This window comes from Homo sapiens, chromosome 1 (assembly GCF_000001405.40).
Source record: "Homo sapiens chromosome 1, GRCh38.p14 Primary Assembly".
Classification (NCBI taxonomy): domain Eukaryota; kingdom Metazoa; phylum Chordata; class Mammalia; order Primates; family Hominidae; genus Homo; species Homo sapiens.
Genome location: NC_000001.11, coordinates 56,853,105 through 56,879,933, shown reverse-complemented (window position 1 = coordinate 56,879,933; position 26,829 = coordinate 56,853,105). Strand labels below are relative to the sequence as shown.

The following is a 26,829-nucleotide window of genomic DNA, read 5'->3' as shown; positions in this document are numbered from 1 at the left end:
TTGTTTATGGCCTCTGTGAAAAGGCACAAGGCAGGAAAGGAGCAGGGGATAAACTGCGAATAAAACCCACTTCAAAGGAATAAGTGGATAATTATAGAGCACCTGGCAGATTGTAGAAATTCAATGTATGTTAACTTCCTTTTTCTCTTTCTTTCTCCTTCTCTTTCTTCATATTAGTGGAAGTGATGTAATAATAACTACAGTAAATTGAATACATACTCTACTAGACGTTTAGCTTTCAACCTCACGACAACTTTGCAAATGCAGAAATTGAAGTTCAGAAAAATTAAATAACTTGTCTCTAGTCATAGCTGGATTTTTTCCTAGATTTTGTTGATAGTAAAATCTGGGTTCCTTCCCTTTACTTTCCCTGAAGTTTCTATCTTCCTGACCATTGAACATGTTTCTGCCTGTAGCTTATAAATACAGCCTCTTAATAGACTGAACAAAACTCAAAGAAACGGTAATCCCTAAGAGTATAATATAACCTCTAAGCATAAAGCCTATATATATTTGGAAAAGCTGGTTGTGAAAGCCCCAGTTAAAAGGGAAAGGTGTAGTCAAAGAAGTTCTACTTTTTGGAAATCTACTATGCAGAAATATCCACACATGTGTACAAAACTATGTGTACAAGAATGTTCATTGCAGCATTTTTGTAAGAGGAAAATATGGGAAATAATCTAATTCTCTTTCAATAGGAAGTAGTCAAATAATTATATAATTATACTATAGATGAGGAGTTGGAAATTTTTTTTTAATAAAGAGCCAGATAGTAAATGCTTTAGGCTTTGCAGGTCACAGGGCTGTGTTGCAACTACTCAACTCTGTCATCGCAGGGTAAAAGCTGTATTTCAATAAAACTTTATTTGTAAGAATAGCCGGCTGAATTTGGCCTTCAGGCCATAGTTTGCTAACTATGTTATAGAAGAATATGCTGCTTATTAAAAAGAGATAGAAAATTTGGGGGAAAACTTAAAACTCTACTATTAAGTATAAAAGTGAAAGTTGCAGACAATATGTATAGCATGATCACATTTATGTAAAATATACCTGTGTCTATAATGCCCAGTACACATAGGTATATTTTCTATATAATGCATATTGTCAATGCAGTTTTTACATAATCTGGAAGTATCTCCACCAAACTGTTAACAGGGGTCAGCTCTAGGGAGGGAAGGGAGAGAGGGCTGTTGGACGGAGTGCAGGTAAGAGAAGATGGAAGAAAACTGTCAATTTTTATTTCAAACATGTATTACTTCTCTAACAATAAATAAAAATTTTAATCTGGGAAATGCTTAAATTAGAAAAAAAATAAGAGCAAGAAAGGAAGGCCTTTGAGATCTGAGATAAATAGAAGAACCATCAAACATCAGTGGCTGGAGTGGAGCAGGACCATTTTACCAGTTTCAGTATTCAGTGTGGGTGAAGCACACTGTTCAGAAAGCGTATTTGAAATGTTTCTAGTTAAATCACGTGGGAGAAGATCCATGTTCTGCCAATAAGGAAGGGATTATTTTTCATTTCAACATGTCAATATTTCACACTTCTATTGTTTACTCTATAGTCACTTTTGAAATCAACAAGAATCCCCTTTTATTGATGTTACGGGCTGGATTACATGTCCCCAACATTCATGTGTTGAAATTGTAACTCCCAAAGCCTCAGAGTGTGAGTATATTTGGAGACGGAGTCCTTAATGGGGTAATTAAGCTGCAATGAGGTCATTATGGTGGGCTGTTATCCAATGTGAGTGGTGTTCTTACAGGAAGGGGAAATTAGGACACAGATATGTACGAGGGAAGAACATGTGCAGACACAGGAAGAAGGCAGCCATCAACAAGCCAGGGAGAGAGGCCTCAGAAGAAACCACTCTGCTGACACCCTGACTTCAGACTTCTAGTCTCCAGAATTGTGAGAAAGTAAATTTCTGCTGTTTAAGCCACTCAGGATGTGGTGTTTTGTTATGGCAATCCCAGCAAACTAATACTGCTGGTATGAAAGAAAACAGAATTTTCTCATCTTTTTATATGTGTATATCTACATGCACTTACAGAGTTCAATTCCATCAAGTAGGTGGGCTCTGATCTCAGAGCAATTAACCATAATGAATGAGGGCTGCATTTCATGGAACCCCCACTTGTCCTTGGGTGGGCTGCAACAGGGCTGGGTCACTCTGTGACAGTTACTACATCTCCTCATTTCCTTATTTGTAAAGATCCAGCTGATCATATTGATTTGTTTCAATTCAACCAACACTCAGCGAGAGGCTATAGGACAAGCTCTGACACAGGGGCTGAGGAGATGAAAAAGCTGAGTCAGAAGCAACCTCTGCCCTCAAAGAGTTTATTCAAGTTAGGAGACAAGACCCTAGGCAAAGACAGAGTGGCAGAGGACTAACAATACTGGAACGTCATTCTGAGCTAAGCCCTGTTCCGGTACTGGAGAAGCAGAGATGACAAGGAGCCCCTAGCCTGGGCAGATAGACACCTCGACAGACATCCCCAGCCTATTGGGTAAGAGCTGTGAGAATAAGACTTGCAGGAGTCTCTGGGAGCAATGGGAGGGGACTAAGTCAACCTAGGCAAAGTCAAGAGCAGGGGAGGGGGCTGTTACAAAGACTACCTAGGGGAGATGGTACCTCGGTGTACTAGTCTGCAGGGGCTGCCACAACAAAATACCATAGACTAGGTGCCCTACACAACAGAAGTTTATTTTCTCATGGTTCTGGAGGCTAGGAGTCCAAGATCAAGGTGTTATCAAGGTTGTTTTCTGCTGGAGGCTCTCTTCCTGTCTCAAAGACAGCCGCCTTTTCGCTGTGTCCTCACATGTCTCATTGGCTATGCATGTGTGGAAAGAGAGAGATCGCTGGTATATCTTTGTCTTCTTATAAAGCCACCAGTCCTCTTGAATTAGGGTCCTACCCTATGACCTCATTTAACCTTAATTACCTCTCTAAAATCCCTATTTCCTAATTCAGTCACATTGGGAGTTAGAGCTTCAACACATAAATGTGGGGGTAAGGGGAGACAAAATTCAGTGCAGAACATTAGATGAGGAGTTACCCAGGTAGGAATTCGGGAAAGAATATTCCAGGAATATTGATTAAGGCTCAGAAGGAAAGAGTGTGATGCATTCAAGGAACTGACCCTGAACATAAGGTGAATGAAGAGAAGTTAGAATCAAGGCTGATTTCATCTCAACAGATAAAGAAACTGTGCCCTGAGAGGTTTAAGTAAGCAATGGGAAAGTGGGGGTTAAAGCCCCTCTCTGTCTCACCCTGAGCCCATTTTCTTTACACTGTGTCACACCATTAGCCCTGGTTATTGCAAGCATCTACAGTGCAAAGCAGATTGGGAACAGGGCTATTGGAAAGGCAACGGCTTAGATCAGAGAAGAGCTATCTTTCTGAGACATCAGGAAGGCTTCATGGAAGCTGTGGCTTCTTAAATGGGCCTTAGAAATGGCACTGGGGTGAAGGGAGATGAGCAGTAGGGTAGGTGTACTAAAAGAGAGGAGAACTCTCAAGCAGAGACATGAGGGGAGAGCATGGGCAGTGTCACATAGGCAGGACTGGACAAGCCATCTCTGGGGACAATGAGAGCAGCTCACAGCATGCACTCCAGAGGAACCCTCCAAAATGGCCCCCTTCTGTCCTCAAAACTAATGCTCACGATTGAAGACAAATCATTCCCTGCTCCTAAATAGCTAGTAGGCAGGGCCTCACCCCAAGGCTGCCTTCTGTGATCCTGGAATTGGTTCATACTGGCTGCAGTCTTCGTCAATGGCCCTGACATCTTCACAGTCGTCCTCATCAGAGCCATCAAGGCAGTCCTGGTCTCCATTACACACAAGGTGGCGTTTCAGGCAGCGACCTGGAGAGAAGAGACTGTGGCTGCTCCTCGGGTTCCCCTCTCCCTCCAGACTCACACCCACAATCAGTAAGTCCTTTCTTCCTCAGAAATAAACCTCCCATCTGTCCCATTCTCTTTCTGTTCTCACTGCCTCTGCCTTCCTTCCAGCCTAATGAGCTCCTGTCTGCAGCCTCCCAGCTTGGGCATTGCCTGAGTTTCTCTCTCTCTAATTCTCCACATTGCAGCCCCCAGTAATCTTTCTAAAATGCCAGTCTGCCCATGTAATCCCCTTGCTCAGTATCCTCCAGTGGTTCTCCATTCCTCTTCTTCCAAATGCCACAGTCTGGACCCTACCTGCCCATCACCTACCTACCCATCACCTACCTCTCTTCCAAAAGCCCTGATGCTGCAAACATTCTGGGCTGATTGGGAGTCTCTGATCCCCATGCTTTTGCATGTTCTTTCTCCTAGAAAGTTCCATTTTGTTTCCCAAGTCTCTACTCAAATACCATTTCAAAGCCCACCCAGACTGCCCAAAGCAGATTTGGGAACCTCCTGCTAGAAAGACCCACTAGGCCATGCATGTGCCCATGGCTATCACACAGTGTTGTAATTAACTCTTCCTAGGTCTCTAGACTAGGAGTACATCAAGGTAAGGTGCATTATTTTTTTCATGTCTATATTAACAGCAGATAGCATACTTCCTGGCACATAATATGTGGTCAATAATATTTGTTCAATGAGTGGGTGAATGAATGAATTGTCTTTTTCTAAATGAATCAACAGATGTTCCTACAAAGTTGAATCAAAATTACTTGGGCTGCTGGCTTGGCTTAAAATGCAGATTCCTAGGACCCATCCCAAACCTAGAGAATGGCAACCTCGAGAGGAAGGGCTCAGGAGTATGCATTTTAATAAGCTCCCTGGGGAAGTGTTTCACATGTCACTTTTGACAGGCACAGCTGTTATTCTGCTGAAATGCTACTCACCTGTCTCCTTACACTGGAAATCCTGTCCACACTGTGCTTGCCTTACACAAGTTGTAGAACTGGAGCAGCTGGCTTGATCCCAGATGTCACCACTGCAGATGGTTCCCCCAAACTTGTTTGGCTGCAAGAGGCTCCGGTGTCGGTACTAAACCAGATTTTGAACAAGACACATTCTTGTCAACCAATCAATCAATCAACCAAGACTTGTGCAGCCTGGTTTCGGCTCAACATAAGAAATAATTATCTAATGATTGAGACCTGCCTGTGAAGCTGTCTTTTGAGGGATGAATATGCATAAACAGTGGTGTATCACCAGAAGTGGCACAATCACTGATTGGAACGTTGAATAGGGCCTCCAAGCATCAAATGAAAGGCCTGGACAAGATATTTCTAGGGTCTTCCTACTTGCTAGGAATAACCTCTGTTCCCTCTTCTTGAAGAAGTTAAATTCCTATTAATCTTTCAGTAACATTCTTCAAGTTGCTCGCTTCCCTGTCTACTAGCACTTGGCATATGAAGTTGCAATTGAGCATCCACGTAGTTCTCCATCTCTCCCACCAGACTGTGAGCAATTTTCATATTGAGGGTAGAGAAGAGAGGACCATGTCTTATTTGGCTTCATACACTTGGCACTTGATCTAAGGTCAGGTACTCAAGAGGCACGTTCAGAAGACATCTGTTGCTTTTTCTTTGCAACATTTCTTCTGGTCCTGGAATTCCCCTCTTTCTTTGGAGATATATCTCCTATAGTTAAGGTGGGAAAGGACTCACTTCCTCAGTCACAGGGATGTGTGGGTATGAACCAGGCCTGGTTCACCAAAGCATCACATCTGCCTAGTTGTTGTAATCATTGCTTCAAGGATTGGCACATGACTCAACCCCATCCAATCAAGTTCTCTCTGGGGATTTTCTTTTACAAAGAGACAGATTCTTTCTCCTGGAATTGTTGGAAACTGTGGACATCAAGTTGTAGATGCCTTGCCTATTATGCAGAAAGCACCCATCCAAGAGATAGAGAGAGAAAGAGAGCTCTGAAGACATCATCTGAGTCCCTGGGTCCACCTTTGACTGCAGATAAATAGACACTTGACAGAAGGAAGGAATTAAAATGCACGCCAATCTTGGGACTTTAGAGTTTCATAATCATGCTTTCTATATAGTGTACAGTGTCAGGCACTAGCGTAGAAGAAGGAAGCTGAAAACTAGGATATCCAGAGAAACATGAGGTTCTATCCCTGCCTTCAAGAAGCGTAGACCCTAGTTGAGGACATAAAATGTGTAATAATACAAAACATGCAGTGCAGATAGCAAACACACAGTGGCCGACAAGGAAACGTGCAGCCCTGTATTTCCTGGTGCCTCTCTCCCTGGCTCAGTCCACGGGCCCTTCCTTTAAGAACGTTAGTATGTAGGTAAGAAAGCAATGATTTGAGCAGCAAGAGAAGTGGGTTTCCTACCTCAATCAATTTCTTACTTGCTGTGTGAAGTATCAGTGTCTGGTACTTTGTGGCTCAGTTTCTAAATCTGTGCAATGAGGTGGGTGAGCTAAATGACTTACCTAATTATAGTGACTAATATCCTTTCACCTGTGTCCTGCAGTTGACAGAGCATGGACATGAGGATTAGACAGACTTGGGTTCAGGGCCCAGATTTTCTTACCAACTGCCCATGAGCAAGCCACTTCCCTTTTCTGAGCTTCTGTCTTCCAGTGTGTGAAATGGGTGTAATGGCATTTTCCCTTGAAAGGACTGTGTGAGCTCTGAGTAAGAGAATGTGTAAAGAAGCCCCCAGCCCTGTTTCTGGTATATTATTGGTGTTCAATAAGCAGAGGTGGTTTTCACATTGTTACTGTTATCCGTGCAGTATTTCCAGGTGATTCCATGGGTGAGTTGTGGAGCAGTGCAGCTCACTTCTCTTCTTACCCACCTCTGTCTCCTTAGCTGCTCATTAACAAAGTGGCAAAGGTAGCAAGGAGAGGTGAAGATCAAACCTGTCCATAGGTCTGTCCTGCCTTTCAGTTAATAACAGCAGTAAGAGATTTGTAAACTCTGTAGGAAGAGATTGTAATTAATGACCAGTTGGAGAACATCAGTATATTTTAATATCCCACCCACACTCTTGCCCCTCAGCACAGCAAATAAAGGAGTGATCAGCATAGAAATGTAGAGCCAATTTTCTTTCTTTCTTTTTTTTTTCCTCTCTTTATGTCAGTTTATTTCTGGATGTGCCTTCCAAGAACACTGGTTTATCTGTTACTTCCTCTGTTCCAAAGTGTTTAGTCATTCCCACTCTTTGAAGTGTAACTGCTATCCACATTAAATACATTTCTATAATTTCCTTACATGAAACTATGACTTCAGCCAAATATATCTTGCTCATTGTTCCTAAACATACTATGTTTATTCCTGGCTGTAGACTCTTGTTCATGGTTTTTCTTCTTAGAATGACTTCTCATCTCACTTTCAAATTTTTCCTTCCTTTAAAATATAGCTTAGAGCCTGTTTTCCACCATGAGGTCTTTTAAGACTGTTCACCCTTTTTCCCACAATTCATACCCTAAAGGTTTGACTTTCTTTTAAACTCATATAGATCTTATTGTCTTCATTTTCTACTTGAATTAAGATATATTATCTTAAATTTTTTTCTGTATTTTTCCTTTATCATCAACTAATGTTACATGTTATTTGAAGGAAAGCATCTCAGACTTTTTAACATGGCCAGCACTGAGTAGATATCCAGTCAATGTCATAATGAGAATGGAATATCTAACAAGGACATTATGCATGGCATAGTGCTCTCCAACTCAGACGACTGTTTGCCATTACATGACATCTATTTTGATTACAGCTTTTTATTATGAATATGTTGTGCTTATAATTCCACTTCATTGAGAATGAGGTTGGGAGTGAATTGTAAAGGTATTTATCCAAGGTCCAAAGAAAGAAAATATTGCTGCTTGGAATATTGCAGTTAGGTCATTCTAAACTACATTTTTGCTTCTTTGACAAAAGGGCAAATTTGAGCCTGAAACTTGGTGCCAGGATACCTTAGCATATCTGTTGTACATGTTATGGGGTGATGAGTTCACAGTTAAATAAGCAACAGGGATCTGGTACATGCCACTGTTCTGCAGTGCTTTCATGGTGACTTATAGGAACAGATTTAATATAGTTTAGTAACAGCTTGAGCTTCTCCAAACAAATAACACATAATGTTATTCGAAATCAGACACAGTAGGTACTTGCCTCTGAGTACTCCTTCTTTGAATTAGCAGCCAATCTTCTTTCTTACTCTAAAAATTATATTCGATTTTTAACACCTGTACCTACCAACTTGATAATGGTTATGGTGGCTACCATGTACTGAGTGCCTACTCTTGGCCAAACACTTTACATTCCTTATCTTATTTAATCTTCACAAGTTTATGAAGTTAAATATACTATGGGAAACCCATTTTGAGCTGAGTTAGAATTCCAGCTCTGCCACCTACTGTATATGCATCACTGGGTCAACTACTTAACATCTCTGATCCTGTTTTCTCATTTTTAAATGAAATATGTCTGAGAACATTGCAAAGATTCATCATAACACATGTAAAGAAATCATCAATTTGCCTGGTTTCTGATATACACTCAATAATAGTAGTTATCAATGTCATCATCATTCTTGTATCCAGCTGTTGGACTACTTCAAAAGGAATTGAAGTGACCACTTATGTCACTCATTACTCTCCTGGATGGTTCAGCGGGAGGCAGTAGTGTGGAGCGGTCAGCCGCGGAAGCTTTTTGGAGTCAACTGACCAAGTTTTAAATCAAGGCTCTGTCATGTTCTTAATGGGTGACCTAAACAAAGTGGATGATGATGTCTGTCATTTACAGTTGGCTGTGAAAGTCAAACAAGATAATTTTTTAAGGCATTTGCACAATTGTCTGGTACCTAGAAATTATTTAATAAATGGTGACTATTGCCATTGTCATCCTTCCTATAGTATCTATACTGGGAATTATGGTGCAAGCCATAAGGTTCATTCCCATTGATTCCCTATTTTCTAGGTTGCTATCAAATAATGAAGATATTTGTGTGGCAGGAAGGTTGGTGCCAATATTCCCTTAGGGACTTCTCCATGCTATTGCCTGTGGTTGGGATCATTAAGACATAATTTTCTTTTCTAACTGGTAGATAATGTTTCCTTCCATAAATGTACATCTTTGTTTGGATGATTTTGAGAAGAAGAAACATATTAATAAAAAAAACTAGGGTGGTCTTTCACCTAATTAACAGAATTAATTATTTTAAGGGTTACTTTAAAAACGCACGTGTTTTTGAGTCAGTAAGGAAATAATTCTATTCTGATTTAAACTGCAAGTCATTGTCTTGTGGTACCTGCTGTCTAAACTGAAATAAATACGAAAAATTTAATTTAGGATATATAACAGGTTGAATAATGGCCACACAAAGATATCAAGTCCTAATTTATGGAACCTGTAAACGTTACCTTATTTGGAAAGCCGGCCATTGCAGACATTATTAAAGTTTCTGAGATGAGGATATTACCCTGGATTGTCTGGATAGCACTAAGTGTCATCACAGTGTCTTTGTAAGAAGAAGGCAGAGAGAGATTACAGGCAGATACACAGAGGAGAAGACACACAGATGAGGCAGCAACGTGACCAGGGAGGCAGAGACTGCAGTGATCCAGCCACAAGGTAAGGATTGTCAATGCCACCAAAAGCTGGAAGAGGCAAATATTAGGTTGCTGCAAAAGTAATTGCAGTTTTTGCTGTTACTTGATATGCCAAAACTGCAATTACTTTTGCACCAACCTAGTAACAGAGTCCCTTCTAGCGCCTCTAAGAGGGAGCATGGCTCTGCTGATACCTGGATTTCAGACTTCTGGCCTCCAGAACTGTAAGAGAATACATTTCTGTTGTTTTAAGCCACCAAGTTTGTGGGAATTTGTTCCAGTGAACTCAAGAAACTAATACAGGATGTCAGAGCAAAATGAGCACGTAGGGATCAGACACATTTAAACAGGAACAGTCTAAGATTCTTCAGCACTTCTCAGAGATGAGAGAGGCAGAATAACAAATTTCAGGCTTTGATGTTGAATGAACTAGGTCAAAATTGTGTGTGTTTCTGCCACTTACTAGCTATGCAATTTTGAATAACTCATCAGGAACATTCCCAGAGCACCTCACTAACTGAGTGGTGGGTCTGGAGGCAGGATGACCATTCACAAACCCTGCAAGAACTCAGGTGAGAGAAAAGCAGGGATTAATTCAAGGCAATCGGACTGAGAATGAAGAGGAAAGCACAGATAATTATTAAAAAACAGCTGGCATTCCACAAATTAAAACTGTAATGAGATATCACCTTACTCCTGAAAGAATGGCCATAATTAAAAAATCAAAACATAATAGATGTTGACATGGATGTGGTGAAAAGGGAACAGTTTTACACTACTGGTGGCAATATAAACTAGTACAACCATTATGGAAAACAGTGTGGAGATTTCTTAAATAACTAGAACTACCATTCAATCTAGCAATCTCACTACTGGGTATCTACCTAAGCGGAAAAAAAGGTCATTATATACAAAAGAGACTGTAATACATGTTTATAGCAGCACAATTCACAATTGCAAAACTATGGAAACAACCCAAATGCCCATCAACCAACGAGTGGATAAAGAAAATGTGGTACATATACACCATGGAATACTACTCAACCATAAAATGGAATGAAATTAATGGTCTTTGCAGCAACTTGGATGGACATGGAGGCCATTATTGTAAGTGAAGTAACTCAGGAATTAAAAACCAAGTATCACATCTTCTCACTTATAAGTGGGAGCTAAGCTATGAGGATGCAAAAGCATAGGAATAATATAATGGACTTTGGGGACTCGGGTGGAAGGGTGGGGAGGGTGAGGGAATAAAAGACTACACATTGGGTACAGTGTACACTGCTCAGGTGATGGGAGCACCAAAATCTCAGAAATCACCACGAAAGAACTTATCCATGTAACCAAAACCTACGTTTCCCAAACACTATTGAAATAAAAATGAAAAAATAAAAGAAGGAAAACATCTGGAATTCCTTAAACATGTATTCTGAGCCAGATGCATGAGAAGGGTTTTGTGTGCATTACTCATGTATTGCTCACAATAATTCTAGAAAGTAGGTACTTTTATACTCCAATTTATACATAATGAAACTGAGGCACAAAGATGATTAAAAATATTCCCAAAGTAACAATGCAGATAAGAGGCAAAGCTGGATCTAAAGTGCAGAACTGAATCTTAACACTTAAACTCAGAGGTAATGTGCTAATAGACAAGGTTCAGGCAGTGAGTGGTATGCCGAGTGGGGAAGGGAGCATCTGATACAGGCATGTGAGTCTGAAGGAAATTTTAAAACAATAATAAAACAGACTAGAAGTTACACTGTGTTTTATTACGTATTTATTTATTTATGAGACAGGGTCTGGCTCTGTAACCTAAGCTGGAGTGCAGTGGCACAATCTAAGCTCACAGCAGCCTCAAACTCCTGGGCGCAAGTGATCCTCCTGCCTCAGCCTCCTGAGTAGCTGGGACTGTGGGTGTGCACTGTCATGCCCAGCTAATTTTCTGTGTGTGTGTATTTTTTGTAGAGACTAAGTCTTGCTATGTTGCCCAGGCTGGTCTTGAACTTCTGGGCTCAAGTAATCCTCTTGCCTCAGCCTCCCAAAGTGCTTGGATTACAGGTGTGAGCCCTCACACCTGGCTGACTATGTTTTATTATTACTGTGAGCCAGGGATTCTGAACAAAGTCAGAATTTTAATACTCGCCTCTGCCTGAGTGGAGGGCTCCCAACATCCCTCTTCCCTTCATATGTCAATGGTACTAGGGATCATTTTGAACTATTCAAAACCATTTAGATAGGCAAAGTAAACACACCTCTCTTCATTGGGTGTGTTGGTCTTTTCAATATATGAAAGTGGAATTCTCAAGAACACACTCTGGGATATCCCTTGGATTATCTCATCTCCTCATGGGCAGCTTTGTATTTTGTTTCTAAGCTATTACTTCCTCCAGAAGACCCTCATGAGTGGGCAATAGATTTGCCATGACTCAGAGAGAAACAAACGTGCCCATGTACAGATAGTGACTTTTCTGCCTATGAGCCATAACATACATCTTTTGCAGCCTCACTCAACACTACCTTACAAACAAAATTAGGAGACACGGAAACAAGTTTCACCATCCATGTATAATGGATTTCAAACAACAATTTCTAGACCCAATTTCTCCCCAGGCCCCTAGACATAGTGGACTGCTTAATCTCCATTTGAATGCCTAATACACATATCAAATATGAAATGCCCCCAAACCGGTTGTAAGTGTCTCACCTTTTTGTCCTGGCACGGAAAGCAATCTGTCCACTCTGACCAGTTGCTCAGCTGGCAGGTAACTGCTGCGGGTGTAGCTGCCCGTCTTACTCTCCTAAAGAAAGGGAAGATCCATGCATCAATTTTGAGATGCAAAATTTAAGCAAATGAGAAAGCTGTGCACATTTTCCTTCCAGTAAAACATGGTTTGGAAGAAATGAGGAATGAACATTTATTGTACTCCTACTTTATGTAGAAATGCCAACAGAAATGAGAGAGTGTATGGTGCTAGAGGGTTTATATAAATTATCCCTTTAATACTATATCAGTCCCCCATGCATCAAATTATTATAATTTTAGAGAGAAGAATATTAAAGAGGGCTAACAATTTTTGAAGAGCCAAAGTAGCAGAAAGCTCAGTGGTTAAGAATGTGGAGTCTGGGGTAAGAGGATTGGGTTTGAATCTTAACCACTTGCTGACTTTGAAAACTTGAGTAAATTACTTAATATCTCTGAACTACAGCTTTCCCATCTATAAAACTACATTAAAAAACATTACCTAAAAGGGTTATTGAAAGTGTATTGAAATGCTTATGAAAGGTTTACTACAAGATGATTTTCATTATTACATGCTGGGACATTATGTGGATTATCTCATTTAATCTCTATAACAATCCTTGGAGATAAATATTATTAGATCTATTTTATGTACAGTGTAAGAAAGCTGGGATTCCTAAAAGCTAAGTAGCCCTGAAGTCATAACCCAGGAATGACAGAGGCAAAATTGGAACTAGTTGGTTTGATGGCAAAACCCATTTCCTGCTCCTCATCATGCTACTGCCTCATTTTATGAATCAGCCAACAGACATGAGAGAGCATATCTCCAAGCCCACGATCCTTCTCTTACCCTATACTTCCCCCTCACCAATTAAAATGCCTACTCAGGGAAAGAGAGACAAGCCGCAAGTTTGCCTGGCTTCCACATTAGCCTCTTCCCATAGTACCACTGCTACAACTTCAAAGCCAGATTGGCCCACTGGGAAAGTGGGAACACTGTTAACACTAGAATTACCACAGCCTCTGAGAGCCAGGCAGCCACTGCTGTGATGAATGGCATGATTATAACCCTAGTGTAGGAACAGAAAGTGTTTCAAATCTCATGCTAATGATGTAATGAATTTGATGAATAATGACACCTAAGTTGAAACTCGGCACAAGGAGCCATGGAATAGTTCAGAAAATTTTGTCTATCTTTAACTCTGGTTCTCAAACTTTTGGTCTCAGTATACCTTTACATTTCAGCAAATTACTAAAGACTCCGAAGAGCTGGTAAGTGGGCTAGATCTACCAATATTCACAGAATTCAAAATTAAAACTGAGAAATTTAAAAAATATTTATTAACTTATTTAAAATTACAATAACAAACCTATTACATGTTACCATAAATGTACATTTTTGCAAATCCCTTTAATGTCTGGTTTAGTAGAAAATAGCTAGAATCTTATTTCTGCTTCTTCATCCAATCTGTTGCTATATATTGATTTGGTTGAAATCTATGAAGAAAAGTCAGCCTCACATGGTTATGTAGTTGAAACGGGGAGGAGTGTTTTAACAGCCTTTTCCAATAACTGTGGATGTTCTCCTTTGGTATTACATGAAAACTTGACAAGTGGCAATTTCTTACATGTTAGTGGCATGTGGAACCTGAAAGCATATAAGTGAATTTTTTGTTCTCTGTCACATTAAAATCCATTGGTCTTTATACTTTGAATGGATCTTGTGCCCATATACAATTTTTATGATATCAGGCATTTGAAATTTGGAAAATAATGGTTCACTGAGTATGTGCCTTACAAATATTAATGCATTTCACTGTATAATATCTAAACATCAAACCTGTTAATATCACCAGTGATCTCGTCAAGTTCATGGTAGTGGATATGTTTCCCCAAATTTTAATTTTCTCATAGAAGCTCAAATCTTGTCATTAGTAACAAGTAATGTTATTTGTTTTCCTTGAAATGATAGGGTCTCTGCATTTTTTATACAATGCATGCCAAATATCTAAGCCCAAATAACCATAGTTTGGTAGTTTTTTCATCAAGAAAAAATGATGTTCCAGGAAAAAAAGTGGTCTTACTGACTGATGTTTATGTCCCCCCATATTTATATGTTGAAACCTAATCCCCAATCTGATGGTATTAGGAAGTGGGGCTTTTGGGAGGTGACTAAGTCACGAGGGTGAAGCCCTCATGAATGGAATTAGTGCCCTCATTAAAGAGATCACAGGGACCTCCCACATCCCTTCCACCACGTGAGGACACAGCTAGAAGACGATCACCTGTTAACCGAAGAAGTAGGCCCTCACCAGACACTGAATCTGCCAGTGCCTTGATCTTGGACTTCCCAGTCTCCAGAACTGTGAAGAATAAATGCTTGCTGCTTAAACCATCCAGTCTATGGTAATTTGTTATAGTAGTCCAAGTAGTAAGACAAGTGGCTACCTTAACTTACAGTTCAAATAATTGCTTTTCCTCAAGACAACCATCATACTCAGTGTATACTCAATGATTTCTTTATGCGTTCTTCCCATTTTGTTACATAGAATATTTAAGTCCCATCTATTCAAGGATTGAGGTTTAATTAAATTAACAATTCTTACTGTTTCTAGAAGGACTTTCTTAAGTAAAACTTAAAACTTAGGAGTTTTGTTTGTTTGTTTATTTTTTCCTATGAGATTAGTGCCACTGCCTTGATTTTGACCAAGGCCCTAGCAGTTTTATCCATTGGTGCCTCTGTACCATCAGTGCGACTGTAAACACAGTAAAAGGGGAAAATAATGTCTTACCATTATTATGAGAACTGTTTTGAAATTACAGTTCCCCTGAGAAGATGGTGGGGACTTTCTGGGGTCTAAAGAACACACTTTGAGAAACTCTAATTTGTAACATGGTGCTAGCAGGCACAAGCCCTCCCATCCCTTCAAAGAAAACTTCATTGCCCAGCTCACAATATTCCCCCTACATCAATTCCTGTCATCATGCTGGGAGACTCATCATCCTTATAAACGAGTCATCCAACTCTCTGGTTGCTCGGTTGCTCCTTTTCCTTATCTGTAATTATCTTCTCTTCTGAACCTTCTCACTCTCTAAAACAACTCCTCCTCCAAGTCATTCATTCATGAATCACCTGTGAATAGTTACTTGGGGCCTCCACAGCCTCTTGTTCTTCTATCTTATATGCTTAAGGGGATTCCCACTGCACTTTTTCTTGAACCTCATTGGGATCTCCATTATCTCAACATCTAAGCTTCCTCCCTTTCAATAAGACCCCCTCTTCTCTTTATTTACCTTTATAACCAGTTTTGATTCCATGATTCATCACTTTACAATCTTACCTATATTCTAAACACCTAGACCCCACTGTTCCCTCAATCACACCTAACTGTAAATCCCAACCCTGAATGAATCCAATTATCTACCTCTTTACTTTGGTTAATTCCTATGTATCTTTCATTCTCATCATAAACATCAATTCCTTAGGGAAATATTTCCTGATATCCAGACTGGTTGAAAACCTCCTTCATATGATTTCGTCAATCTCTGCACATTTTCTCAATTCTTAATTATCAAACTTGTAATATTTGTATGATTTATTTCTTCTCTACCAGATTCTAGGCTCTATGAATGCAGATACTGTCTATATTTGCTACAGAGTTCCCAGCACCTATCATGGGCCAGACCCATGGAAAGTGCTCAGTAAATATTTACAAAAGGAAAAAAGGAAGGGAAAGAGGGAGGGAAAAAAGGAAGGAAGAAAGGAAGGAAGGAAGGAAGGGAGAGAAGGAGGGAGGGAGGGAGAGAGGGTGGGAGGGAAGGGAGTGAGAGAGGGAGGGAAGGGAAATAATAAAACCAATTTCTGGGATATAGGCAGTGACATTGTTGAGATATTTATTTGAACCTGATTCTTATAATCTAAATTAAATTAGATCCTGGTATCTTGACATTCAAATGGCTCAGGGTTGGTTACACACGTATTTTTCTAATAGACTGTTCTAATAATAAAAGTTTGAAGTGGGGGAACATGGCGAATTGGAAGGAGAGACAGAAGGTATAGGGAGAAGGTTTGAGAACAGAAAAGGACTCCAGCATTATTTCTGCATCTCACTACACAATTGTCAAGATAATGTCATTGTAAGCCCATAGAGACTGCATTATGTGTCAAACCAGAGGGAAACAGTACTAATGGATGGAAGCAAAAGCCTAGACAGAGAGCAGTTGGTGTATTGCTGTAGTTTTAAAAGCCTTGTGACATGAAGTCTAGACAGAGGCATACATGCTAATGCTATCACGCAGGCCAGAGTACAGAAAGTACACCAGGACCATTCATTAAAGTCATTACAGGGCTCCAACCTTTTAGCCAATACCAATGTGACCAACATTTTATTATTCCAATAAATTTTTCAATGTAGTTCATTTTTTGATGATTATAAAAGTAATACAGTCTCATTACAGAGAACATAAGAAAGATCATAAATGAAAAGAATTGCCCCAAATTTTACTGTCATTAATATTTAGTTATATTTTCTTCTGTTTATTTTCATAACATATTGAGGTCATACTGAGTATTACATTTTATATCCTGATTCTTCCACTTAATAATAGAGCAGAAACATAAACTATTTATGGTAATACACATTGTTCCACTCCCCTTATATTAAACAATTAGATTATTGAGTCCCCAGTTTTTCTGTATTCAAGTTATTTATTGAAGATATATCCTCCAGAGTGGGATGACTGCATTGAAGGGATTTTAGAGCTTATGGCACATATTGCCAAATGGCTTTCCAAAAGAACTGTATAAATTTTTTAATTACTTAAGGAGCCATTCATAATTCCATGGCCTAATAAATCTTGGAAAATATTTTTAAGGCATCTCTCAGCTGGCGAAAATCTACTCAATCAGTAAGACATTTAATACGGAGCATAGGGACTCAGGAGTCTTTGCTTCTAATCTTCAGTTTGCCTCTCATCTGCTGGGCTACTATGAGCAAGCTGCTTTAACTGACTTTTAGTTTTTTAGTCTGTAGAATGAGCACAAGTCTATATGGTGCTATTGCAGAGTTTCTCAAAATGTACCCTGCAGAGTACCAGTTCCTGAGATATGCACTGGGGTCGGGGAGGAAGAGGAGAAAAGTTCCATGGTCAAATACATTTGGATGAACTGCATACACCATATTGTTCTTGGAGATTCAAAATGCTCAATAACATATTGAAGGTTCAGAGAGTTTCTGCATTTTAATTTGCATAACCTGGCATTTCCCAAATTTTGTGAGGAAACACAGGCCATTTCTTTTTGTATGCATCATCTGTAAGACTATGTAACACAGTTGAAACACCGATGTAAAAGAAAGAGGTTTAGAGTCCAGCAAATATGCATTTGAATCTGATTTCTGCTACTTATTGAACTTCAATTTTCTTATAGCTATAAAACAGGGAAAATCGTTTGCAAGACTATTTTGAATATGGGGTGAGATCATGTATGTAAAATCTCGAGCACAAGCCTGGCATACATGTTAGCATCACTCTAACCTTGTCAACGTCACACATGCTCATCAAACCACCCCATCTTCATCAAAAATATATTGAATGTACTCGGATAGGGCTGTGGACAAGTGAGATGCTTCCCATCTGCCTTTTAAAATAGGGCAGCATATTGGGCAAAGAGTCTAAAACCTAGACTTGAATAAGCAATGCGCAAGTCAAACACTTGACCCAGAATGTGGCCTCTTCAGCATTTTAGAAAAGAAAATAATTAATTAGCTACCAATCCTAGGCTAGAAGGTCAGAAAGTCTAACTCTGATGATTACCAGGGGGTTATCCCAATAAATTGGCTCAGCTTGTATTAAAATCTGATTATCACTAATTATATAATCTTAAGCCAGTCCCATCCAGTTACATGGAGATTCCATCATACAATAGAGGTATTTTAGATTTAACTTTGAAAGTGCTCAGTCTTCAGCAACCTCCATGTTGCTAAGTGCAGTGGAAAATTGTCTAGTTTTGTTTTACTTGCTCTCTGCTATGGTTTATTTGTCCCCACTCATGTTGATTGCATGAGTGTAATAAGTAGGGGGAGAAAAACAAACTCATGTTGAAACTTGATTCCCGATGTGGCAGTGTTGGGCCTGGTGGGAGGTGTTTGGGTCATGGGGCAGATCCCTCAGGAAAGGCTTAGTGCTGCTCTTGTGGTAGTGAGTGGGTTCTCCTGGCTAGACAGACTCATTCTCACTGGGCCCATGGAAATGAGTTGTTGTAAAGCAAGGTTCCTCCTCCTGTTTGGTCCCTCTTCGAATGTGCCCACTTCCTTTTTTACCTTCTCTGCCATGTTTTGAAGCAGCACAAAAGTACTCACCAGGATGTTCCTAATTTATTTTCTTTATAGAACTTAAAGTATATAAAATATTTGCATACATTTTCTAGAATAGAAGCTTCATGAGAGCTGAGAGCAAGCACTTTGTCTTTCTCATTTATATCCCCAGGGCCCAGAACAGTACCTGGCATATAATAGGTGCTCAATAAAACACAATAAGCATGTTTATGTCAATTTAATAAAAAAGCTCTCACCAGAAGCCAAGCAGATGCTGGCATCATGCTTCTTGTACAACTTGCACAACCATGAGCCAAATAGACTCCTTTCCTTTATAAACTACACAGCTTCAGGTATTCCTTTATAACAACACAAAACTGACTAAGATGCAGTCTGTGAACCACTTTTTTCTTCATGAGAACTTTCATCTCTTGGACTTCTTCAGCACAATTCCTCCTCACTCTCTTCCTGCCTCTGGCCAGTTCTCCAAAAACTGGAATTCCTCAAAGTGCAGTCCGGTCTTTCTTCTTTTTCTCTTTCTGCTTTTTTCACCCTTAAGAAGGTAAGATCCACGTCCTTGGCTTCATACACCATCTGTGCAAATGTTCCTACATTTAGACCTTCAACCTAGACTAGTCCTCTGTAGTTCTGTTTTGTTTATCCAACTTCTCCATTTGATATGTCTATCAAATGCCTCTTAGACATGGCAAACTTAATGGTTCCACATGTAAACTCTTCATTTTCTCTTTTAAGCAGCTCCTTGTTATGCCTTCCTGTGGGCCAAGACCTTCTTCTACTTTACCTTTCTCCAATCCATTCTCTGCACAGCAATCAAGAAAATTTTTTCAAATGAGAAATCAGATAACATCCTTCCTTTATAAGACTCTCAGTGATATTTGTTTTTGTGTTTGTGTGTGTTTTACTACCCATACACTCAATTCCAAATTTCTCATTGTGGTGCCTAAGGTTCTTTGGGATCTGGCCTCTGTCCAATTTTGTGACATCTTCTTAAGGCACATTTCTCTGCTTTCATGTTGCTCCCATCCTTCAGTTCTCAAACATGACAAGCCACTTCCAACCACAGAGTCTTAGCACAGGTGATCCCTCCGCTTTACCCTGCTCTTCACCCGGCTTCTCACTACCGCCCTTCACATCTCAGTTTAAATGCCATCTTTACAGAAAATTCCCTCAATCAGCCTGTCTTTAGATTGCTCTGATATCCTCTAACAAAGGGCCCCATTTATTTCCTTCACAGTATTTATCACAATGTAAAAAAAAATTTTTTCTTTTGAGATAGAGTCTTGCTCTGCTGCTCAGACTGGAGCGCAGTGGCACGATCTCGGCTCCCTGCAGCCTCCGGCTCCCAGGTTCAAGCAATTCTCGTGCCTCAGTCTCCCGAGCAGCTGGGACTACAGGCATGTGCCACCATGCCCAGCTAATTTTTTGTATTTTTAGTAGAGACAGAGTTTCACCATGTTGGTCAGGATGGTCTCGAACCCCTGAGCTCAAGTGATCCACCTGCCTCGTCCTCCCAAAGTGCTAGGATTACAGGTGTGAGCCACCGCACCCACAATTTTTAAGATAATTTTTTTTTATATATTTATTGACTAACTCCATCGCTACACTGTAAATCCTATGAGTGTTGAAACATTATCTGTTCAGTTTATTACCTAACACCTAGCATACATGTAATATTTATTTATTGAATGAATGAATAAATAAATCCAAAAAAGTATCCACTGTGTGCTAGATGCACATAGAATTCCATACAGAACTTTAAGTTCCAAGCATGTACTGGGCTCTCCTGCAGTATTTGCATAATGCTATTTCCTCCACAGAATGCTAATCATATCTCATTCATCTGGCCAAACCTTTCCACTTCAGTTCATTCTCTCCAGATATCTTTCTTTAGCCTGCCTGTCCTATGCTAACATAGTGCCATATACATGGATCTTCTAACACTTTATTCCTACTCCTAGACTGCAAGCTCTGGAAGACAGAGATTATGACTGTATTGCTCACCATTGTACCCTAGTGCTTAGCACAGTACCTTGAATATATTATCTCATATAATCTTAAGTTATTTCATTAAAATTTCACAAGAACCCTGTGGTGGTAGGAAGTACTATTCCCATTTTATAGATGAGTAAAACAGATTCATAAGAAGTTGAAATAACTTGCTTAAGGTTATGTAGGTAGAAAGTGGCAAGGCCAGAATTCAAACCAACAAAGACTCCAAAGCCTATGCATTTTTTAAGCATTCTGAGATGTATTCTGAAGGATTTCTGACAAAAGAGAAATAGGGTAATAAAAATAATTTTCTAAAGGCTTACCATGTACCAGGTTCTGTTATAAGTACTTTATATAAACTTACTAAAGTCCTGACAAGAACTCTAAGAAATATGTATTATCTCCATTTCATAGATGAAACAAAAAATGAAGCTTAGGAAGTTTAAGCAACTGGCGCAACTTCCATAGCCACTACGTGGTGATGCCAGGACTTAATCCCAGATTGATTATACTTCATAGCCCAGACCCAATGCCACCTGAAGTATTGCTAAAGATTAGTTACCCTGAATAACAGTTTCCATATTACATGATTCGCTTTTGAGTCACACCCACTACTCCAATTGTTTTCATTAATTAAAAATTCATGTTTCCTGAATACATATCAATTTTCAGTCTTCTGGACTACTATTAAAAATATTCACATGGCCTTGGCCCAAGATGCTTTGGTAAACATACTCTGATGTCCATAAAAGCAATAAAATAAAAAGGGACATCATGATTGAAACTTCTTTAGGATCAACTGCCTATAGGCCTACTTAGCAAAAAGAAAAACTTTAGAAGCTTAGATAGTTGTCCTCTATGTTTGGGGTCTTCATTCACATTTTTTAAATTCCCCTAAGGAATTCTGCTTTTCATCAATGGAAATATTGGGTTGAAAATTTTGGCCTTCAATTGATGGATAGTAAAATCAACACTCTTAGAAGAATGTAATAAGGGTTAAATTGGCCAGTATTCATAAATGCCTATCTGAGTTATCTTGTTATTGAATACTCCCCTTCTCTCTCTAAGGTTCAGTTTCTTGCTCTGCAACATGAGTGGATTAAGCTAGATACTAAATCCTTCCTAATTCTAAAGACCAACGAAACAGAAATAATGGAATCAGCATACAAGAACATTAAAAGTGTTATTGTAAATATGCTCCAATATTTGAGGAGAATTAAGAGGATAATGAGAAGGGTAGTAGAAGATAGTAGAAGGTACCAAATGAGACATTTAAAGCTGAAAATTATATTAACTGAAATTTAAAATTCACTGGACAGGCTTAACAGCAGATTAAACATTGCAGAACAAAAAATTAATAAATATAGAGTTATAGAAACCAAAATGAAACAGAAAATAAACTGCCAACAACAAAATAAGAAAGAGCATCACTGACCTGTGGGACTTTATCAAGCAGGCTAGCATCTCTGTAATTGGACTATAAGAAAGACAGATGAGAGTGTATGGGGCAGAAAACATATATGAATGAATCATGGCAAAAATTTTCAAATTTGATGAAAACTATAACCCACAGAACCATACCACCTTGGAATTAGAAAAATATAAATCTAAAAGATGGCCCAAAAAAAGAAAAAAATAGAAACAAGGAAGACATGGGACACATAGAAAACAAATTGTAAAATGGTGAACTCAAACCCAAGCATATCAATAATTATATTTGATATAAGTGGTCTAATTACTATAATCAAAAGACAGAGATTGTTAGACTAGCTAAAGCAAGCCTCATCTATGTATGTTCACATGAATTATATTTTTAAATATAGTCATATAAGTTAAAATAAAATAATAGAAAAAGATTTGCCATGCACACACAGATCATAAGAAAGCAAGCATAACTATATGTATTAATAATAAACATAATAGGTTGCAGAACAAGGACCATTGCCAGGGATAATGGAAGCCTTTCATGATAATAAAAGGGTAAATTATCAAGCAGTCAGAATAACTCTAGATGTGTGTGTGTGTGTGTGTGTGTGTGTATTTAATAACAGAGCTTTAAAATACATGGAGCAAAAACTGATAGAACTGTAAGTAGGCAAATCCACAAATACAGTTGGAGATTGCAACATTCTTTTCTCAGTAATCAATAGAACAAGATGAAAACTTGAGTGACATTAACAACCAACTTGACTTAATTGACTTGGAACTACACTGAACAACAGAATAATGCACTTTTTTGAGCATATGGAATATTCACTAAGGTTGATCACACTCTTAGTAAAAAACAAATCCCAATACATTAAAAGAACTGCAATTAAAACTTCTAAGCAAATTAGAAACTTGAAATTAAAAACTTCTAAGCAACACACATAATGAAAGGTGTTATTTGTATAAAATATGTAATAGAGACCCACAGATTTTGAGGCTGAAGATTATAACTTCCTTCCATCACCATTGTTTTAAAATGTTTTTCTCAAATAACACATTTTTAAGATTTTATAATAAGCAACTGTTAAACATGAACTTATAAAATAAATTTGTATAAAATATGTAATAGAGATCCACTGATTTTTAGGCTGAAGATTATAACTTCCTTCCATCACCATTGTTTTAAAATGTTTTTCTCAACAAATTTTTAAGATTTTATAATAAGCAAATGTTAAACATGAACTTATAAAATAAATGTGTACCATTAAAATGTAAAACTATATAATATGTTTTCAATGTTAGGGTTCATGTGAAATTTTATTTTGCAGGGAAAAAGAGTGCTATTACTTAAAAATAAAGTTTAAAATCTCTGACTGATCAGAAAGATCCATGCCAATTGGCATATTATAAATTTGTTTTGTCTGATTATTGTCAACCATCAAGGGAATGGAAATACCAAAAAATAACAATAACAATCACACAGCAGCACTGGTGACAGCTTTCACTGAATGATTACTAGGTAATAGGTAACAGGTATTGATCTAAGTACTTTCATGCATTTAATTTTTGTTCTTACTTTCCTCCCATTGTACAGGTAAGGAAAATGAAGCTTGGAAAAATTAAATAACTTGCCTGAGATCAGACAGCTAGTGAATGTCAGTGCCAGAATTTGAACCTAATAAAATCATTTCACCATGTAGTTTTTCACTTTCAAAGTCAGTGTCAGACACACTGGCATTAGATACAAAGACCTCATGATTTCCTCCTTCAGCACTTTGTAAAGTATTTAATTGGTTCCATTTTGCCTTGACTTGAAATTTGCCCCTTCACTGGTCTGTCTTGTTTGATAAGTTCATCAAACATCAAGACTCTTTGTTCATTTTCAAAAAGGATTACAATGATAAGCTTTTATAATTAAGAATATCTCGGCGGAGATTTCCTTTACACAGTTCTCTTGCCTTTATCTTCTAATTATTACAGATGAATTTTCTGATTTCAAAATTGTATTTCCTTTAAATACAAGTTACAAATTAACTGCTTTTAAAAATGCTTTCCTCCCTTCTGAACTGTTACTTAAAGGAATTCTCACTTGCTCTAGCATTTAAAAGCACTAATGATTCAAAATTGCATCATCTATCAAGAATTAGAATTAAATAATTCTATTTAAAATCTTTAATGTTTGGGAGACAGGGATTGCTTTAAAGCTATCCCGAAGGTGAAATAAAGGACTGCTTAGGCTCCACAAAATACTTAATATTAAGATACCAAAAAAAAAAAACCCATGAAGCAAGCTTGGAAATCTCAAGAAAATAGAATGGGTAAAACACAATGTACATATGAAACTACATCACCTCCCTCTATTATCCCATAGCAAAAGATAAAGTCATTTTTAGAATCAAATGACCCAGCATCTCTATAGTCCTTTGCCTTCCCCACAGTGATTTTGAACACATTATCTAATTTTATCCTCCCCCAAAACTATGAGACAGCACTCTTATGATGCTCTTTTACAGATAAGAAAGTAGGGGTTAAGTTAACTGTTCAGCACCACTCAGGAGAACTGTCATTTATTAAGTGTCTACTATAAGCTGAGTACATTTTATATTCAGGATCTTATTTTATCTACATTAACTCTTATAGAAGAGGTATTATTATTCTCATTTTACAGCTAGGGAAACTAAGGATCAAACCGATGAGATGATTTACCCTGAATTATTCAGCTTCTAAGCATTAGAGCTGTGATTTACACATAGACCAATTTGACTCCAAGTGCACGGTCTTTTCACTGTCCCATCCTCCTCCACAGGAGTAGTAATAACATGAAAAGAGGTTATTTTCCATTCTAACACAGCCTCTGCTGCAAACATAAAAGTGTCTTAGTTCCCCAGCAGGTGATTCCTACGTGCAAGTTTTGCAGAGACATATGGCCCACTTACTGGTTCACCTTCTCCTGTGCAGTTACCCCAGGCTGACAAGTCATCAAAGACAAGATGAAGAAAACAACAGCAAACATCTCAGCCAGAAGCCACCGCACTATATTACCTTGAAGGAATAAAGCTATCTATTCAGGAAATTGGAGTAAAAGATGTCTACAGGCTGGGACCTGTAAGATCTATCTGATGTTGGAAACTCACCCAGATACACATTGATTTGCACAGAACTCACTTGATTCTCTTTCAAATATGGTTAAATAGTAACCAGGGTATTGATTACCTAAATACTCTAAAAGTGTTCCAGGCACCAAAGGCCACTGCCCTTTAGACCTTTTGAAAAACAATATCCGTGTGGTTAAGGAAAGGAAGATATTTAACTAATACCAGCTTAGCAAAGAGGTCTTATTTTCAAAAGGAGGCAAAAACCAAACCAAGATGCAGTTCTAGAATTCCTGGTCTTTTTCAGTGTCTCTTGGAACTTCTGAGGTCAGATCAATCTATTTTGCAAGACTGAAACAAGGCTAATATTGGTATATCAACTCAGACATAAAGCACTCAGAAAAATGTAGGAAATGCTAACCATTACATGAAGGTTCTACTGTACGTTGCCAAACATCTAAATCCTGAAATATATGTGTAATTCAATGGACTTTCCACTTTTCATACAGACATTGGGCATCATTGAGATCCAGGGTATCTGTTTATTGAGGGGGCCAAATGTCTTAAATAGACATCTCCAGAAGCACTCTCTAGAATTATAATGTCAATAAAACCACACATCAGGACTAATGGTGCCATACCTGCCTAAAATCTCTTACTCTTCAAGACATAAATTAAATTAAATTGAGATGGATGGATAGATAGGTAGGTAAATACATAGATGATGGATAGATACACAGACAATAATTTAATGGCTACTATGTGGCAGGCATTTCATATGTCTTATTTAATTTTCATAGCAGGGATATGAGATGGAAATTATTAATTCCATTTAGATGGAATTAATGAAGATGAAGAAATGGAGGCCCAGAGAAAGTAACTAACTTGCCCAAGGTTGTATAGCTGTCTCAATATCCTTGGGAATATTTAGATTCTCTCATTAGCAGGACTGTCCAGTAGTATCATTACTGATCTCAAAGTTAGGAGAAATTTTAATGAATGACTTGTATGCTTAAGAAAATGTGTTTCTGATTTAAATGCGGAGATTTTTTTAAAGGCACCAAATTGTTATCATCTCCCTTTTCTCAGAGATTTTGGTAAACTTGACAGAAGTAAATGTGGATTCTGGGTCCTGGGAAGTCCCCGGAGCCTGTGATTTCTGTGTCTCTCTTTCTCCTACCTCTTTTCATTTTGACTCCTTGGTCCTCTTGGCCTCAGTTCTACCCTACTTTGAAAACCACACTTTCTGTTTGCTCCACAATATTCCAGCGTGACTAGCATTTCATTTTGCTTTCACTGAAGATATGGAGGACAATGGAGGGTATTCTATCTGGACACCCTGGGGCCAGTTCAGGATGGCACATCTGGAGGCCACCTCTTTCTACCAACTTCCATCCTTTCTCATCCGTAGTCAAAGTTCCTGAAACAGATCCACAGAGCCCCCTGGGAAGTGTAGCTCAAGTTCCCCCACTCCTCCCACAGCTTTTCTCATGAGGAGACAACCTCCGCTACAACAGTGTCCTCCACTGGGGGTGATTTTGCCCTCAGGGGATATTTGGCAATGTTCAGAGATATTTATGTTATCACAACTTGGGGAGTTGTGCTACTGGCACCTAGTGCGTAAAGGCCAGGGATGCTGCCACACATCCTACAGTGCCCAGGACAAAAAATTGTCTGGCCCAAAATATCAAGAGTACCTAGGCTGGGAAACACTGCCC

The 26,829-nt window shown here is 38.7% G+C and overlaps 1 protein-coding gene across 3 annotated transcripts in view; it reads right to left on the bottom strand.

Moving 5' to 3' along the window:
• Window positions 1-25,137, bottom strand: part of C8A (complement C8 alpha chain) — a 63,427-nt gene extending 38,290 nt beyond the window's left edge. For all 3 annotated transcript variants that reach the window (NM_000562.3, XM_017002234.2, XM_011542079.3), the window contains exons 1-4: window positions 24,956-25,137; window positions 12,232-12,325; window positions 4,841-4,985; window positions 3,725-3,872 (exon numbers count right to left, since the gene is read on the bottom strand). In NM_000562.3, the coding sequence (NP_000553.1) occupies window positions 3,725-3,872; window positions 4,841-4,985; window positions 12,232-12,325; window positions 24,956-25,032 (464 nt within the window). In that variant the 5' untranslated portion in view covers window positions 25,033-25,137. The remainder of the gene's footprint in view (window positions 1-3,724; window positions 3,873-4,840; window positions 4,986-12,231; window positions 12,326-24,955) is intronic.